The sequence below is a fragment of the Homo sapiens genome, chromosome 18, assembly GCF_000001405.40.
Source record: "Homo sapiens chromosome 18, GRCh38.p14 Primary Assembly".
Taxonomy (NCBI): domain Eukaryota; kingdom Metazoa; phylum Chordata; class Mammalia; order Primates; family Hominidae; genus Homo; species Homo sapiens.
The window spans coordinates 22,571,331-22,588,995 of record NC_000018.10 but is presented as its reverse complement, the minus strand read 5'-3'; the positions used below and the strand labels follow the sequence as shown (position 1 = coordinate 22,588,995).

The following is a 17,665-nucleotide window of genomic DNA, read 5'->3' as shown; positions in this document are numbered from 1 at the left end:
AGTTTTGTAGATACTGTCCGTTTCCCAAAGTGGCTGTGCAGATTTTTACTACCACCAGGTGTATAAGAGTTCCAGCTGTTTTTACAGTAATCTTAAATACCTTGTCAGTACCTATGAAGATGGTTATACAATTTTCCTCTTTTGATCTATGAATGCTGCTAATTAAACTGATAAACTTGCTGATGTTGAAACATCTTTACATTCCTGGAATACATCTACTTAGTTTATGTTGTGTTTCTCTGTTAAGTGGCTAGATTTTATTCACTGATGTTTTATTTAGAATATTTCCATTTATACTCATATCTGAGATTTATCTGTAGTTTTTGGTTGTGTGTTATTTTTGTTAGTTTTTGATACTGATTTTATGCTAGATTTATGAAAATAATTTGGAAGTGCTCCTTCTAAGTTCTGAAACCATTTAAATAGCATTGAAGTAATCTATTTCTGAAAGCCTTGGAAAAATTTTCCTCTGAAACTGTCTAGACCTGGTGCTTTCTTGGGTGAGATATTGGGGGATTAGGGAATTGGATGAAGGTAAAGTTCTTTTGCAACTTGCTATATTTCCTTTATGGTAATTGGTCTGCTTAGATCTTTCATCTCTTCTGGTGTCAGTTTTTGTAAACTACATTTCTTTATGAAAACATTTCATTTCCTTTTGTTTTTCAAATGTGTTTTTTAGTCATGGGCAATGTGGTTTCTTTGGATTCTTTTAGTTTACTTGGTTTTTGTGGTTTGTTTCACTTTTATGATATTTAAATTGTTATTTGTCCTTTCTTCCACGTATCTTGAATAGATTAGCTAACAGGTTATTCATTGTATTTATGTTGCAAAGAATTAGCAGTTACATTTAATGATAAGCTTTATTTTTTTCTATGTTTTCTAATTCTTTAACTTAGAATTCTTTTTTTTCTTTTTTAAATTCTAGGGTATATGTGCAGGATGTGCAAGTTTGTTACATAGATAAACATGTGCCATGGTGGTTTGCTGCACCTATCAACCCATCACTTAGGTATTAAGCCCAGCATGCATTAGCTGTTCTTCTTGATGCTCTCTCTCCCCTAACCCCCTGCCCACACAGACCCCAGTGTGTATTGTTCCCCTCCCTGTGTTTATGTGTTCATATTGTTCAGCTCCCACTTATAAATGAAAACATGCTTTTCCATTTCTTTTTCTTGGTTATTGTTGCTTTCTAACTTCTTGAATGGAATGCTTAATGTTTGTTAATATAAGTATTTCAGGTTTTTTCCTATCAGCACTATCTTAGATGTAACCCAGTGATTCAGACATGTAGTGTTTTTGTTATTGTCATTTTCCATACTTCTGGTAAATTCAGATTTGATTTTCTTTTTCACCCAAAAGTTGTTTATGAGATAGTTAAAGGATTTCTAGGTAATATAATTTTTGTTTTCATATTATTTTCTAGTTTTATTGCTTTGCAATAACAATTATTATCGGTATAATTCCTATTTTTTAAAATTTACCATAATTTCCTTTGTGATTTAATATATGGTTAGTTTTTGTGAGGGTTCCATGAAGGCTTGAGAAAAAAATGTATTTTCCTGTTTTCAAGGTATGGAGTTTAATGTGTTACAATTTAATTTATTAATTTTGTAATTTAGGTTTTCTACTTTTTTACAAATGTTCTATTCACCTGCTTTCTCATGGACTGAGAGAAAAAAATCAAAATGTCATTCATTAATTTTTTTCATGATGTATGATTTTTAATTAAGTATAAAGACCTTTCTAACATGTTTACCTAGAGACCATTTCACCCACTGCTCTCTTCCGCCACGAGTCTCTTCTCTCTTTCTCTTCAGCAATGGTGAGGCAGATACCTTGTCCTCAGGCAAGACAAATCCATGATTTGTTGCTTGTGCCAATAACAAAAATGTTGGAGAGTCAGGTAGCAAAGCTGTTGCTGTTGGCATCTTTTACATGAACCACATCGAAAAATCCAGGATGTTTTTCTCTGTTGGTGATTGCACCAATCCTTCCCAGGTTAGCCCCTCCAGTCACCATACACAGGTTACCAGTGTTGAACCTGATGAAATCAGTAATCTTGCCAGTCTCCAAGTCAGTCTGAACGATGTCATTCACCTTGATGAGGGCCAGGGCAGCAGATGGTGCCAGCATCATGAGCTGCCAGATCAGGGATTTCTTTTGTGCTTACAAAGTTTCTTCTCACTTTGAATAACTTGGCCTCCTCGGGTGTAATAGGTGACCCCTGGTGTCACAGATCAGATGGAAATTCTCTCTGGTCTTGTTAATGCTGACATCTAAGGAACCAGTGGCATAGGTTATATCAGTCAAGACCTTGTCATCGATCTTAATGAACTGCTGCATGCGGATCTTCTTTGCTTCATCTCCTGTCAGTGCATACCTAAGTCTGTTCCTTAGGAAAATGATGACGGGGAGACTCTCAGCCTGTGGAGACTGGTGTATGGGTGGCAAGCAAACACACCGGTCAATGTATTCGGCATCCAATGCTTTGGGGCTCCTACCCACTTCAGATGCTTCTTGGCACCAAGAGCTGTGGCTGCACTGGGCAGGGAAAGAGGATCACCATCTTCCAGTGCACAGAGAAATTGTGGCCAATATATCATTTCAAAGAAAGTGGTCCTCTTTCTCCTGTTTTCTGACACTTTTACTTTATGAATGTTGATTCTAAGTTATTTGGTGCATAGGCATTCATAAGTGTGATATATTCATTGTGAACAGTCCCCTCTTTTATCATTTAAAAAAGTGCTCTGCTGTTATTATTTTTCTTCACCTGAACTCAACATTGATATTAAGATTACAAACAGCCCAGCTATTACTATTGAAATAAAAATTAAAGTCCGATTTTCAGTGAATGGACAAAATATTTATTTCCTGCTCATGCCAAACCCAGTGTGATCTCGGTTGCCTTGTTCCACCTGGTGGCTATGCCACTGGGAGAACATGACAGGGAAAGAGTCAAGTGGAGAGGCACACTGGTTCTTACCTGTCTCAGTGAGGAAATGCTAGTCAATTCTCTGCATAGTCTATTGGCTAGAATTAGTCATAAGTCTGCTTATTCCACAGGGAAGGCTGGAAAAGACAGGGAAGTCAATAAATATTTGGAAAGGACAAACTGTCTCTGCCACATCCCACTTTCTCTTTGTTAACATTACTTAGAATATCTTTTGTCTATGTTTGATGCATTTGCCTTTTTGGTATCTGTTTTGATTTTTGCTTTGTGCATCATAAAAAATCATATATTAGTTTTACCCATTTATATTTACTAGTATGACAGATATAATGGCATATTATTTTATGTAATGCTTTCTAATTTTTAGCCTTTTTCTTAGTCTATCATCTATGATTTTCTTGACTCTTGTAGATTTTTTTCTGATAAATTGGAATGTTTGTATTTTGTTCTAGTGCGTATATCTGCAATCAAAATGTTGCATAATACCCTTAGACTTCTGTTTCTTCAGAGTATCTGAAAATACATATTTCAACTTTACTTGTAATTCTCTACTATGAAAAATGATCTTCCCCTGCCAACTCCTAGTTTACTGTTTTATCTTCCTTAGTACTTACCTTTAAATATTTTATGCCTTTTTATTTCATTAGCTTTAATTTAGTTATTTTAACCTCCCAACTGCAAATGATGAGAGAGTGAGCAGACTTATATTTTTACATTCTCTTCTCTTTCCTCTGCAAATTATTTTAAATTTACATAATTTCTATTTTGTATAGTTGTTAGGATTTTTAACATTTACACTCTTCTCTGTTGCCATACTTCCTAGATTTGTTTTGATCTTGATTGTACAAACAAATAGGGTTAAGTTTCACTGCGAATCTTTTGGCTCTGCGTGAGTGTGTGTGTGTGTGTGTGTGTGTGTGTGTGTGTGTATCTCTTGGTTGGTCAAAGTTCAGGAGTTTAAAAAGGATGCTTGGTCAATCACAGCCAGTGAATGTTACACACATCTTGCTAGACTAGTCTAAAAATCATTGTGTAATTGTTGATTCTAATGACCTGAAAGGTGTTCAGTTTTTGGTTTTGGTTTTGTTTTGTTTTTGATTTCTTGGGGGCAGGTTTTGCTTGTTGCTCTTTTTTCTTTGAGGATTTTGGGGGAAAAAATTTATTTTTGGTTCCAAATAGAAAAACAAAACCTATTTTGATCTTTAGTGCAAATGAGGGCTAGGGACTTAGCCGCCACCACTTCCACATTGCTTCATTCTGTCATTTGCTCACTGCAGCATATGCAAGAATAAAGCAATATAGCTTACTGCATTTTTAATTGAAGGTCAGTCATGCTTTCTGTATTATATTGCATATGAAATTGTTTACAAAAGAAACACCGACTCATACTTCTCTTTATCGATCGCAAGTGGCACGCAGGGACAGAGGGCGAGTGGGGGGTTGGTGGGGGAGGGGATATATATATTTTTTTCTTAAATGTACTTCAGCAGCTAAGCTATCTTCCAAGGAAGGCAGGCAGTGGGTAGAGCAGAGGGACTGAGAGCACACTGAAGAGAGATGCTGGCGGGTTTCCCCACCCTCACCCCAAAGCAGAAACCTGGCAGATGTCAGCTCAGCCCCGTCCTGGGCACAGACACTACACAAGGAGATGCTGGAAGTTAAGCAATATTTTAATACTGTAGTATGTTTGTTTTCTTTTTCTTTCTTTTTTTTCCACCAAAAAAGTAAGTAAACTAAAACACAAAAACATATAAATAAAATCCACCCCTCTTGGGGTTGGGGGGCAACCTTAAACCAAACACATAGCTATCAAATAATCAGAATGTATTATCTCAGACAGGATTTCAGTTCTGGGAGGCAGGGGCCTGATGGGGCAGGGGGCTGGAGGCTGAAAAACAAAAATTCCAGAGCCTCCCTCGAAGGTTCTCTACTGCTGTATTCTGTACGTAATGTACCATCCCGTGTGGAATCTGTGAATGTCTTTTTAAGTAGCATGGGCTAGCCAATCTGCCGTTCATGGTGTATTGTAAACTCCAAATTCCATAGGTAATAGGATGCAAGTCTAAGCGTTTCCTCTGGACATAAATGTATCTAAATAAAACTTTCCCTAGCACTGTGGCTGACCTCACCGTTACTTTTATACTTTAGTATGAAACTGATGAGAACTTTGGTAGTGAGTTTTTTTTACTATGTATACATACATGTCTATCTATCTATCATCTATTTATCTATATACATACATACATACGTATGTATGTATGTATGTGTGTATCTATCTGTCTGTCTATCTATCTATCTATCTATCTATCTATCTATCTATCTATCTATCTATCTCAAGAATCTTTCAGGTCTGTGTGTGTGGCTTTCTTAAAGCCCTGTTGTACAAAATTACTATGTAGATGGCGGTCTCTCACATTACAGATGTGGAAAGTATAATTTTATATTTGTATTTTCAAATAAATAAGTTTGTGAAAGGTTAAAAAGAAAAAGGATGCTTGAGCTCTTGCATGTTCAAAATTGTTTTTCCATTGTCTTTATACATGAATGATAATTTGTCTGGGTATAAAGTTCTTGGTCAGCCTTTCTTTCCTTGAGAATCTGAAAATAGAGCTGTTGACTTCTGCTGTCACTGAATGTTACTGTGCAGAACTGTGAGGCCAGCCTATCTTTCCCTCATAGGTGATTTCCTCCAGGAAACTTACTTGATGTTGACTGTTCTGGGTCTGTTTTTCCTAGAACATGGCATGCCTTTTCAAGCTACAAAGTCTTCTTTTAGCTTGAAGTGATTTTTTGAAAATTCGAATTTAAAATAATTTGTTTCACTATTTTAGTTCTCTCCTTTGTAGTCTTTATTGGCTCACCTTCGCTTGTTTCCATATAAATCATTTTCCTTCAATTGTCTTAAACTTTTCTTTTTCATTTCATTTCTTTTTATTCATGTATCTTAATCCTGCCCTGTATGTTTCTTACTGTGTTTGTAGCAGGATCTGGGACAACCGGTGACATGTCTGGAGAAAAATAAAAACAAAACAAAATTATACCCTACTTCCATCCTATCACACATATCCAGCTGGATTACAATATTAAATGAGAAAAAAAAGAATTTTTTTTTTTTTTTTTGAGATGGAGTCTTGTTCTGTCGCCCAGGCTGGAGTGCAGTGGTGGGATCTCGGCTCACTGCAACTTCCGCCTCCCAGGTTCGAGTGATTCTCCTGCCTCAGCCTCCCAAGTAGCTGGGACTACGGGTGCATACTATCACGCCTGGCTAATTTTTGTATTTTCAGTAGAGACAGAGTTTTGCCATGTTGGCCAGGCTGGTCTCGAACTCCTGACCTCAAGTGATCCACCTATCTCAGCCTCCCAGAGTGCTGGGATTACAGGCATGAGCCATCATGCCCAGCTAAGAAATCTTAAAAGAAGCAGAAAACACACAGCTGATTTTTAAATTTGGTATTGGAGTAAGATAGGCTTTCCTAAGCACAAATGAAAAAGAACTGAACACTGAAAAATATTTGACTTTATGACAGTTTAAATTTATACATTAAATAAACAGTGGCGAAATTAAAAAACAAATAAACTGAAAATAAATGTTTAAAACTTATATGACTAATGGATATCATATCGTTAACATAAACGAAGTGCTAACCAGAAAGACGTACACCTAAATAGGAAAATTGGCAAAAGACGTAAGCAAGTAATTTATAAAAGAAAAAATATAAAAATCCCAAGAAACATATAAAAATACATATTTCAACTTTACTTGTAATCAAAGAAATATAAATTAAAACATTTTCTCCACCAAACTGGCAGAATAATTTAATATCCAATATTAATGAGGAAGAGAATGAACAATCAGCTTTTAGTCTGCTGGTGGGAATGTAACCCAGCACCTACCTGAAGGGCAACTTGGCAATGTATATCCAAATATTGAAAAATTTATATCGTTGGATCTAGTCATTTCACTTCTAGAAATTTATCCAAAAGAACTAATTAGAGATGTGTACAAAGATTTATATATATGGATGTTTTTTGTTGAAATATTTACATTTTCAAATTGGATTAATCTAAGTAACCCAAAATAGAACATTGGCTAAAATAATTTATGGTACATTAATATGATGAAATACTATGCAGAAATTTTTTAAAAAGTATTTTAAGAAACATTTAGCTATGTGAGAAAATGTTGATTAATGTGAAGTAGAAGTACATAATGAAACATTACATAAAATGTAACCTTAATTTTATAAGAAGATACTATTTATAACACTTATATGTACATATATTTACATTATATATGGAAGACTAAAAAAACCCAAAATCTTGTATATATGTATATATTTATCAATCATATATTATACATTTAACAATAAAATCTAAAAGAAATTTAAAATAAAATACACCCAAGTGTTAGACATTATTATAGTTGGGAATTAATTTAATTTTTTTCCTGAAAACCAAAAACTATAAAACGTTGCTGAGGGCATTTAATGAAGACTGGAATAAATGGAAAGATATATGATGTTGATGGGTTGGAAGATTCAATATGGTAAAAATAGCAATTCCCCCCAAATTGATTTTTAGATTCAATAAAATCCCAATCAATTTCCCAGCATGTTTGTGTGTGCATGTTTGTGTATGTGGAAGGAGAGAGGACAATTGGTGTAAAATTTATACAGAAGTGCAAACATCCAAGAATATTCAAGACTGTGTTAGAGAAGAAATGAAGTTGAAGATTTTACATAAGTAGATGTCAAGACTTATTATAAAGCTATAATAATTAAGCCAATGTAATGTTGATGAGAGGAGAGACATATTGGCCAGTGGAATAGACTAGAGTCCAGAAACAGATCCACACATATTTAGTCAGCTAGGGCCACTGGTAGGGTATGTAGGACCCTGGGAAAATATGTTCTGTAGGGCTCCTGACTATATAAATAATTTGATTAAAATGTATTACAAAATGTATGGGCCCAAATGAGACTTAAGAATTTTTGATGAAGAGTTAGAATAATGGGTTGAGTGGGTCTACTTCCCTGTTTGTTTATTATCCAATCAGTGCCTGTGAAGATTCTTCATAGGTCCAGACACTGTCTCTTCCTGTTCAGGGTCAGAAACCATCCATCTGTGATCATTATTGTGATCTCTTTGCGATCACTATTTTCAACTGTGCTATTCTTGGCTGATTTCAGATTTTCTACCACAAAGAAAAGATAGTGACTCTTTTTTTTTTGGACAGTCTCTCTGTTGCCCAGGCTGGACTACAGTGGAGCGATCTCGGCTCACTGTAAGCTCCGCCTCCCGGGTTCACACCATTCTCCTGCCTCAGCCTCCTGAGTAGCTGGGACTACAGGCGCCTGCAACCACGCCTGGCTAATTTTTTGTATTTTTAGTAGAGATGGGGTTTCACCGTGTTAGCCAGGATGGTCTCGATCTCTTGACCTTGTGATCCGCCCGCCTCGGCCTCCCTGTAATCCCTGGGATTACAGGCATGAGCCACTGAGTCTGGCTGATAGTGACTCTTAATATTCATAATACCAGGGTCTTCAGAAACTTCATTGAGACACAATAGATCTTCTTGCCTCTTCAGTTCTCCACTACCGTTTATTCAATGTTGGTTGCATCATCATTCATGATGCTGAATCATTCATGATGCTGAGTCATCCATCATGCTGCTCATGACTGTGGACTTCCAACGTCTCTCTCAAAGGTTATTTCTATGTTTCATTGAAGATTACCACAAATTCAGGTCTTATGCAGAATATGGAGGAAATTTTGTTGTCTAAACATGTTAAATTTACCATTCAGAATTTTATAGCTTAAATACGGAACAAAATATCTTCCAATCATGTCTTCTCTTGAACTCCATAAGCTGTAGTAATCAACATTGAAAATGATTAGTCTAGGAATCACTTTCAGTGTTGATTACAGCCTTGCCTTCCATACCCTGTCAGCAGGGAGGAGGGTTCCATGGGTAGAGCAAAAATAAAATCCTCATTCATGTAAAGAATGTCTGTCTATTATCTGGCATGGCTTAAGACCAACCTGGGAGAACATGACATCACCACATTGATCAGAGGCAAAAAAAAAAAAAAAAGAACATGAATCAATCGGAAGTGCCCATTTCCAGTGAGGAGCAGTAGTCCTGGAAGCCCTTGGAGGAGGTAGTTGAGACCACCCCATGGCGACTACCTGACATGTGGCAGGGAAGGGAAGGGGTGAGATGACCACCCTGGTACCACTGCCTGGAGCAGAGTAGAACATGCCTGCCACTGCCTCCACTGCTGCACAGGAGCAGCACCACCGTCCGATCATGGATGAGTGAGCCGACACAGGCCCACACAGGTGCAGCTTAAGACCAATTTAAGGTCAGCAGTGGACCAGGTGCTCCTCAGGGCATGTGATTGGATTCTTATATAGTGGTAGAGGGTCGAAGAATACCTCAAAAGGGAGAACGGGAACAAAGCACATGCAGGTCCCCATCCTGGCTCAGGGCACCCAGACAACACTGTCAGCCACAGGAGCCTAAGGAAAATGGAAGGAAAGCACTTCAAATGGAGGGTGGTGTGGTGGTTCCCTGAGGCATGTGGCCTGGGGCGGGGGTTCTCTTGCCTGTGTCTAAACGTGGTACTGCAGTCATCAAATTTACAAAAAAAAAAAAATGTGTTGTGTTGCAGGATATCCTAATTACCCTGATATAATCATTACACGCTGTATGCATATATCAAAATATAAAATGTACCCTATAAATATGTATAATTATTATATATCAGTGAAAAAAGTTAAAAATTAAAAAGAATAGAAAAGGAAAAATGTGTTGCAGTAATGCCATTGGGGAAAAGATTGGTCTTTCGAACAAATGCTGCTAGAGCAAATGTGTGTACATCTATAAATAAATGAAACTGGACTCCCTCTTCACTTCATTCACAGAAAATCGATTCCACGGGGATTACAGACCAAAATAAAAAGGGTAAAGCAAGAAGATATATTTAGGACCTGGGAGTAGGCAAAGCTTCTTAAAAAGTACCAACCAGAAAGAAAAAGATCGATTAAATAGACTTTATTAAAATTTAGATTGTTTTAATCAGAAAATATCATTAAAGGTGCAGAAAAGCAAGTAGATTTATAGACTTCTGCAACAAAACCTTGGTTTTAGAATATACAGAGAATTTTTATACATTAATTTGAAAAAAGTAGATAACCCAACAATCCAATAACAAAAGAGTAAGATTTTCCAATTGTCATTTTCCAAGAGAAGATATTTAGACTAATCAAGTATGTAAAAAGTGGTCAGTATTGTCATCAGGGAAATATTATTCATCAGTGAAATGCAAATTAGAACCGCAGTGAGAAACCACTATATATCTACCTGAAGGGCTAACTGAAAACAAATCACTGGTACTATAAAAGCTTGCTGAGCATGTCAAGCAACAGAAACCCTCATGCATTAGTAGTGGGAATGTGCACTGGTACAGCCTCTTTTGAAAGCTGTTTGACAGCATCTACTAATGTGTACCCAATGACCCAGCAATTCTACTCCTAGTGGAATACATGCTACAGCAATACACGTCCAAGAATGTTCAGTGCCACGGTATTAACACTAACCCTAAGCTAGAATCAACCCACATGTCCATCAGTGGTGGAATGGAAACATTGTGGAAGATTTATAACTATGGTAGACTACAAACAATGAAAAGAAAATGAACTACTACTACATGCTATCATATGGATAAACTCACAGATATAACGCTGTGTGAAATGGCCAGCCACAAAGGAGTACACAATGTATGATTTCATATATATAAAGTTCAAAAACAGGAAAAAATGTAATCTATGGTGAGAGAAGTCAGAATAATGCTTGCATGTTGGGAGTGTGACTGGGTGAGGGCACAAAGGAGACTTCCAGAATGCTGGTAATATTATGTATCTGTATCCTAATCTGGATGGTGGTCACATAGGTATAAACATTTTATAAAAATTGGTCAAGCTTCACATCCACATGTATGTTTATTGCAGCACTATTAACAATAGCAAAGACTTGGAACCAACCCAAGTGCCCATCAATGATAGACTGGATAAAGAAAATGTGGCACATATACACCATGGAATATTATGCGGGCATAAAAAAGAATGAGTTCATGTCCTTTGCAGGGACATGGATGAAGCTGGAAACCATCATTCTCAGCAAACTAACACAGGAACAGAAAACCAAACACCGCATGTTCTCACTCATAAGTGGGAGTTGAACGATGAGAACACATGCACAGAGGGAGGGGAACATCACACACTGGGGCCTGTCAGGGGGTGAGGGGCTAGGGGAGGGATAGCATTAGGAGAAATACCTGATGTAGATGACAGGTTGATGGGTGCAGCAAACCACTATGGCACTTAGTATACACCTTTTTAACAAACATGCACGTTCTGCACATGTATCCCAGAACTTAAAGTATAAAAAAAAATTGGTCAAGCTTAAGGTCTGTGCACTTTAACGTATATATAAAATGGTATCTATTTGTTATATCTGTGAAATAAGTTACAGAAAAATCAGCTTGGCCTCAGCAGAGCTACCCTTCGGAAATCTGAACAAATATTGTTCATGGGGCCTCTTTCTACATAAACTGCTTGAGTTATTCAAAATAATCTGGAGTCTCAAAAGGAAGAAAAAGGATCAGGGTCCACATGGGTTGCAGCCAGGATTTAGGGGGCCCCTGCTGGCCCCTGACACCAGATGAAGACTTGCAAAATTTGAAGGAAGGCGCTGCAAAGTGTGGGGACCCTCTGAGGGGCGCAGTTTGGGGCAAGGATCTACCACTGAGGTCTAAGAATAGCACTAGCCCTAGGATTTTAATTGTATAACCAACAGCCCAAAGACAGTGGAAAAGTGTCTACTGAGGTTTAAGATGGAAATGATATGACCTAAAAATTGCATATTACTATGTTCTTATTCTCATATGATGACTGTAGAAAAACATTGATATTTAATAATTCAAGAACTGTACCAGCCCTCTGCCCTTCTTAAAGGAATTGCTTAAAAATAGTCTCCATCCAACCTAGAGTTGAATCAGGTTCATGTAAAAAATATATATGTATATATATATATAAAATTAAACAAATGAAGTACAAATAATCAGAAAAGTTACAGCTGTATACTGCTTATGAGTTTTTCATAAATCAGAATATTTTAGAGATGTTTTTAGTATTTTTACTTAAAACATCAATATTTTCTAGAAAAACAACAGGATGGCAATATTAATTTTAGGAAAAACCAAAGAGGATTAAATGAAAGAAGAATTATTAATAAATAAAAATTCCACAAAGAAATATAGTAATCATTATCTTTCAGGTGAGTTTTATCTATACATATACAAAAGTTCTTGGCAGAAGGGAAACAGAAACACGATTGTCATGGTGGATTCCTGTCTTTATAATCTCATATAGAAAAACATAAGGACAAGAAGTTTGAATCATAGTATGAGGTTGGATTAGATTTATATTCAACTTTATATTGTTCAGTTAAAGTACTTTTTCAAGTTACCATGAAACACTTAGTAAAATTATTATATACTCAATCACAAAGAGAATCTCAACAAATTCTATAATGTAAAATTGAACTGGTCATATTCTATGACTGTAATATAATGAATTGAAAAATTAACAAAGTTTAAATAGTAATTCTTCTAATCCTTGTAAATATTTTTCAAAATTTCTAAACATATATGTCAATGAAAACGTCAAGTCCACAATAACAGACTTAAGAAAAAGTCTGTTATTAAGAAAAAGAATAACAAGTCCGGGTGCAGTGGCTCATGCCTGTAATCCCAGCACTTTGGGAGGCTGAGGAGGGTGGATCACAAGGTCAGGAGTTCAAGACCAGCCTGGCCAAGATGGTGAAACCCCGTCTCTACTAAAAATACAAAAATTAGCTGGGCATGGTGGCAGATGCCTTTAACCCCAGCTACTTGGGAGGCTGACACAGAGAATTGCTTAAACCCGGGAGTCAGAGGTTGCAATGAGCTGAGATCACGCCGCTGCCCTCCAGCCTGGGTGACAGAGCAAGACTCCATCTCAAACAAAAAAAAAAAAAAAGAAAAAGAAAGAAAGAAAAAAAGTAACAATATTATATATCATATCTTCAGGATTAAGCCAATGCTCTACTGGAGAAAAAAACTCATAGCCTTAAGGGTTGTCATTATTAATGAAAATAAATGAACTAATCATTGAAGTCAAGAAGCTAGATATATAATAACAAAATACACTTTGGGAAAGAAATATGTAGTAATGATGCCAAAATCAGGAATTACTAAGTTTAAAAACAAATTTTAAAAACCTCATAGGATAAACGTAGAAGATGGTTCTGTGAAGAAAATAGCACTATGAAAAAACAAACAAAGGAACCTGACAAATTGATTTAACCATCATAAAAAAGGCATTAGAATTAAGAAAAAATATGTAACAGCAGATACGGAGGTCATAAAATTATGAGAATATTATGGAATATTCTTTGATGTTAAGTTGGAAAGATACATTGTTCAAGGAAAGTAAAAGGGGCCAAAATTGACACAATAATAAATAGACCAATAACCTTGGAAAAAAATCAAAATAATTCAAAAGACCTTATGCCAAATAATTTTCCAGGTAAACTTTCTTCAAACTTTCAAGAAACAGATAATTTCTATGCTATTCTACTTCAGAATATTACTGATCCTCAATTCATCTTATGAAACTTACATATCTCAAGAACAAATATTAAAAATTTGAAAGTTTAAGAATTACATTTGATTATAAATAAAAAGCTCAAATAAAATTTTAATGAACAAAATTAAACTCTAGTATTGTTCATCATATCCTTGAAATGCATTTTTAATATTAGAAAGTCTATTTATTCAATGAGTGAAATAAAAATTTTAAAAGATGTTATAACATATAACATGTACTTCTTTTTTTTTCTTTTGAGACAGAGTCTTGCTCTGTCGCCCAGGCTGGAGTGCAGTGGCGCGATCTCGGCTCACTGCAAGTTCCGCCTCCCGGGTTTACGCCATTCTCCGGCCTCAGCCTCCTGAGTAACAGGGACTACAGGCTCCCACCACCACGCCTGGCTAATTTTTTGTATTTTTAGTAGAGACGGGGTTTCACCGTGTTAGCCAGGATGGTCTCGATCTCCTGACCTCGTGATCCACCTGCCTCGGCCTCCCAAAGTGCTGGGATTACAGGCGTGAGCCACCGCACCCAGCCAACATGTACTTCTAAAAAAGCAAAACTCTTCAGAGACTTGGATTAAACTGATTCTTCCTCACGGTTAGGAATATTTATTCAAAACCTGTGTTTGCAAATGAACTGAATAAGAACCACTGTTTTAAATTTTTTTGTTTTGGCCTGTACAGTATTGGGAAAATGATTTGTTATAGACATTTTATAATTGGGAGATTTCATATAAAATCAGATATTGTCTCTTACATGCAAAAAAAAAAAAAGATGAGGGTTAGGATGTTAACAGTAAGCTAACATTTCATATGATATAATAGGCTTAAGCTGAGTATCTGCTGTGCAGCTCACATTAGAAGGAGCACTGTCCAGTTTGTCAGTCTCCACCAAGCTCTATTATCTTATAGCTGGCCTGCTTCATTTATTCCTGTTATCTATGCAACCCCCTGAGACATAGGTATTTATATATGTCTATTCCAATATTAAACTTAGTAACCAACATTATGTTTATTGGTGTAATATGTAAGAGGTTATTCTTATTCCTCTTGAGAACAAGTCAAAAATGCCATCTATGACCTTTACAAGGTAACTTTTTGTTATTTTTGTTAGAATCATGTTTTTGGAGACAGGATCACACTCTTGTTCAGGCTGAGTGCAATGGCACGTTCCGGGCTCACTGCAGTCTCCACCTCCTGAGCTCAAGCAATCCTCCTGCCTTAGCTCCCCCAAATAGCTAAGACTACAGGCGCACCACCACATTTGACTAATTTTTCTTGAATTTTTAGTAGAGACAAGGTCTCGCTATGTTGCCCAGGCTGGTCTCAAACTCTTGAGCTCAAGCGATCCTCCTGCCTCTGCATCTCAAAGTGCTGGGATTACAGGCGTGAACCACCTTACCTGGCCGGTTAGTTAACTTTTTGAAAGCTGTGGGCAATAGAAGAGACAAGAACCCTAAGAAAGGAGGTTTTATCACTGGAAAGAAAAAGGCGAAATACAATATTTTTAGCTGGTATGATGATATACCCTCCTTACACACACGCACTCAAACCTCCCCACCAGCTATAAGCTTGTTGTAAGTAATAGGATAGTTTAACAAATTGGCTGATTAGAAGATAAAGATCTCTAAAATTAGTAACCATTTTTCTTATATTCCAGCAATCTCTGATTAAACAATACAATGACAGGATGATTGTATATAGCAACAAAAATTTTAAAATACAATGAATATGCAGGAACAATATGAAAAAACTATAAAAGTTTATTGAGAGATATAAAAGAATACTTGGACAAATGGATATATATATCAAGTTCCTAAAAATCATAAAAATGTCAATTCTTTCCATTTAAATTTATGATTTTAATGTAATCCCAATGAAAATTCTAAAGAATTGTTTTCTAGAATAAAATTTTAAATGAAGTGCATCTGAGGTTGTAAGCAAGTAAGAATAGAGAAAAATTCTGAAAAAGCTGTTTAAAGTGGGAGAATCTTAAAAGTGTTTCAGAACCTTTTCCCTAATAATTCCATTTCTAGCAATGTATTTTAATAAAACAATAAGAAACATAAATAAAGGTTTATTTGTAAGATGCTCTTTACTACAATACTAATAATGTTGAAAAATTAGGTTCATTAAAAACATCCACCACAATGTGGAAATGGTTAAATAAACTATGGTTTGTCCATATGAGAGACTATTAGGCATTTATTAAATGTCATGCTTGTGAAGGATTTTTAAATGACATGTGATAAAGCTCATGATGTAATGCTATATGAAAAAAGAATATATAAAATTCTATGTTCAGCATGATTCCAGTCTAAAAATTCTTAAGGTGGTGGAATTACAGTTGATTTTGATTTTCAATGTTTTATGTATTTCTAAAGTTTATAAAATGAGAATGCATTTTATATTTAGAAAAGAATATAAGTTTTGTCTTTTTGAGAGAAAAATAGTTCTTACCAAGCAATGGCTTTAGTAGTGGGGTGATAATTTTGGACAAAGTCACAAAACACATTTCAGTGAAGGCTGCCTATATTCGCTTTTCCCTCTCCTTATGACCTTTTCTGTTGGTAGGTAATTTGTGTAACAGCTATTTAAGGAAGATAAGCATTAACCCACATTAGTTTTCATCAAACGGGGCCTTTCCTTTATTAGGCCAAATGAGAAAGTACTGTTTACATGTAATGCAAATCCCCTTGTCAATACATCTCCATATTCCTGTATGTAAGCTCCAACTTTTGTATTTTTAATAAGATCTTATCTCCCTCATAGTCTAGCAACTGTTGGATCATTTAGAGACCATCCTGTAGTGTTTATGACAGCACAGTTGGTTGCCATGGAAAGAACTGAGCTGTCCCCAATCTCATAACAAATATGGGTTTGAAGCTGTTGATTTGGCTAAATTCAGAACCTTTGTGAACCCTGGGGGGTCTGAGTTTCTAATTTTCTTAAACTGATGGAAGTTTATTTATTGTTGACCATATAAAACTCTGTTTTGTTTCTTGTTTCTTTCATTTTATTAATAAAAAAATTTTTTTAAAGACTGAAAGTTCTGCTTATATACCACACTATTCTATCACAATAAGTTTGGTGTGTTTTAAAACCATATGTATGGCTTGTTACACATACATACATACATACATACATATAAAAATATAGTTGTATTTTTTCATAAGATTTTATAAAAATCATGTATATGTACATCTACATACATATACTTCTCCATAAAATAAAAACAGGAAAACATAAAAATACTATTTCCCAGATTTATGTCTACAGTCTACTGGGAATATCAGTAAAATTCTTTATTTTGATAATTTCATGAAAGTGGAAAGGATCATATGTAGTGTGACTCCATAATTTATTGTTTAAACTTGGACATTATTGAGACTGGAAATCGCTAAGAATAATTAAGCAGGATTGATGTGTAAACCCAAGCTGTTTTGAACAGAGTGGGATTCTGGGTCGCCCTAATCAGAAGATGTCATATATGGGATATGTTACACGCTGGATTCTGTCATCCAAAAATTCATATGTTGAAGTCCTAATGGCCAGGACCTCAGAACGTGAACTGATTTGGAAATAGGGTTGTTGCAGATGTAATCAGTCAAGATGAGGTAATACTGAAGTATGTTGGACCCCTAATCCAATATGACTGGTGTCCTTATTAAAAAGGGAAACTTAGACATGCCCACAGGGAGAAGGCTGTGTGAAGATGAAGGCAGAGATCAGAGTGATGCAGCAGAAGCCAAGAAACACCAAAGACTGCCAGCAAACCACTAGAAGCCAGGAGAGAACAGATCCTCCCTCACTGCTCTCAGAAGAAAGTAACCTGAGGATATCTTGGTTTCAGACTTCTGTCCTCCAGAACCATGAGCCATTACATTTCTGTTTGGAACACACAGTTGTGTGGTACTTTGTTGAGGCAGTCCCAGCAAACTGATTCAGGATGCTCAGCAACTTGCCACTGAATATCCCTCTAGCCAACACCAACAAGTGTTCAAGACTTCCTCTTTCAAGA

The 17,665-nt window shown here is 36.0% G+C and overlaps 1 long non-coding RNA gene and 1 pseudogene across 1 annotated transcript in view; both read right to left on the bottom strand.

Moving 5' to 3' along the window:
* On the bottom strand, nt 1,718-2,587 carry RPS4XP18 (ribosomal protein S4X pseudogene 18; annotated as a pseudogene).
* LOC124904265 (uncharacterized) overlaps nt 5,894-17,665 on the bottom strand; it is a 56,143-nt gene continuing 44,371 nt past the window's right edge. Inside the window, exon 3 of the long non-coding RNA XR_007066310.1 lies at nt 5,894-5,958. This is a non-coding gene — a long non-coding RNA (uncharacterized LOC124904265). The remainder of the gene's footprint in view (nt 5,959-17,665) is intronic.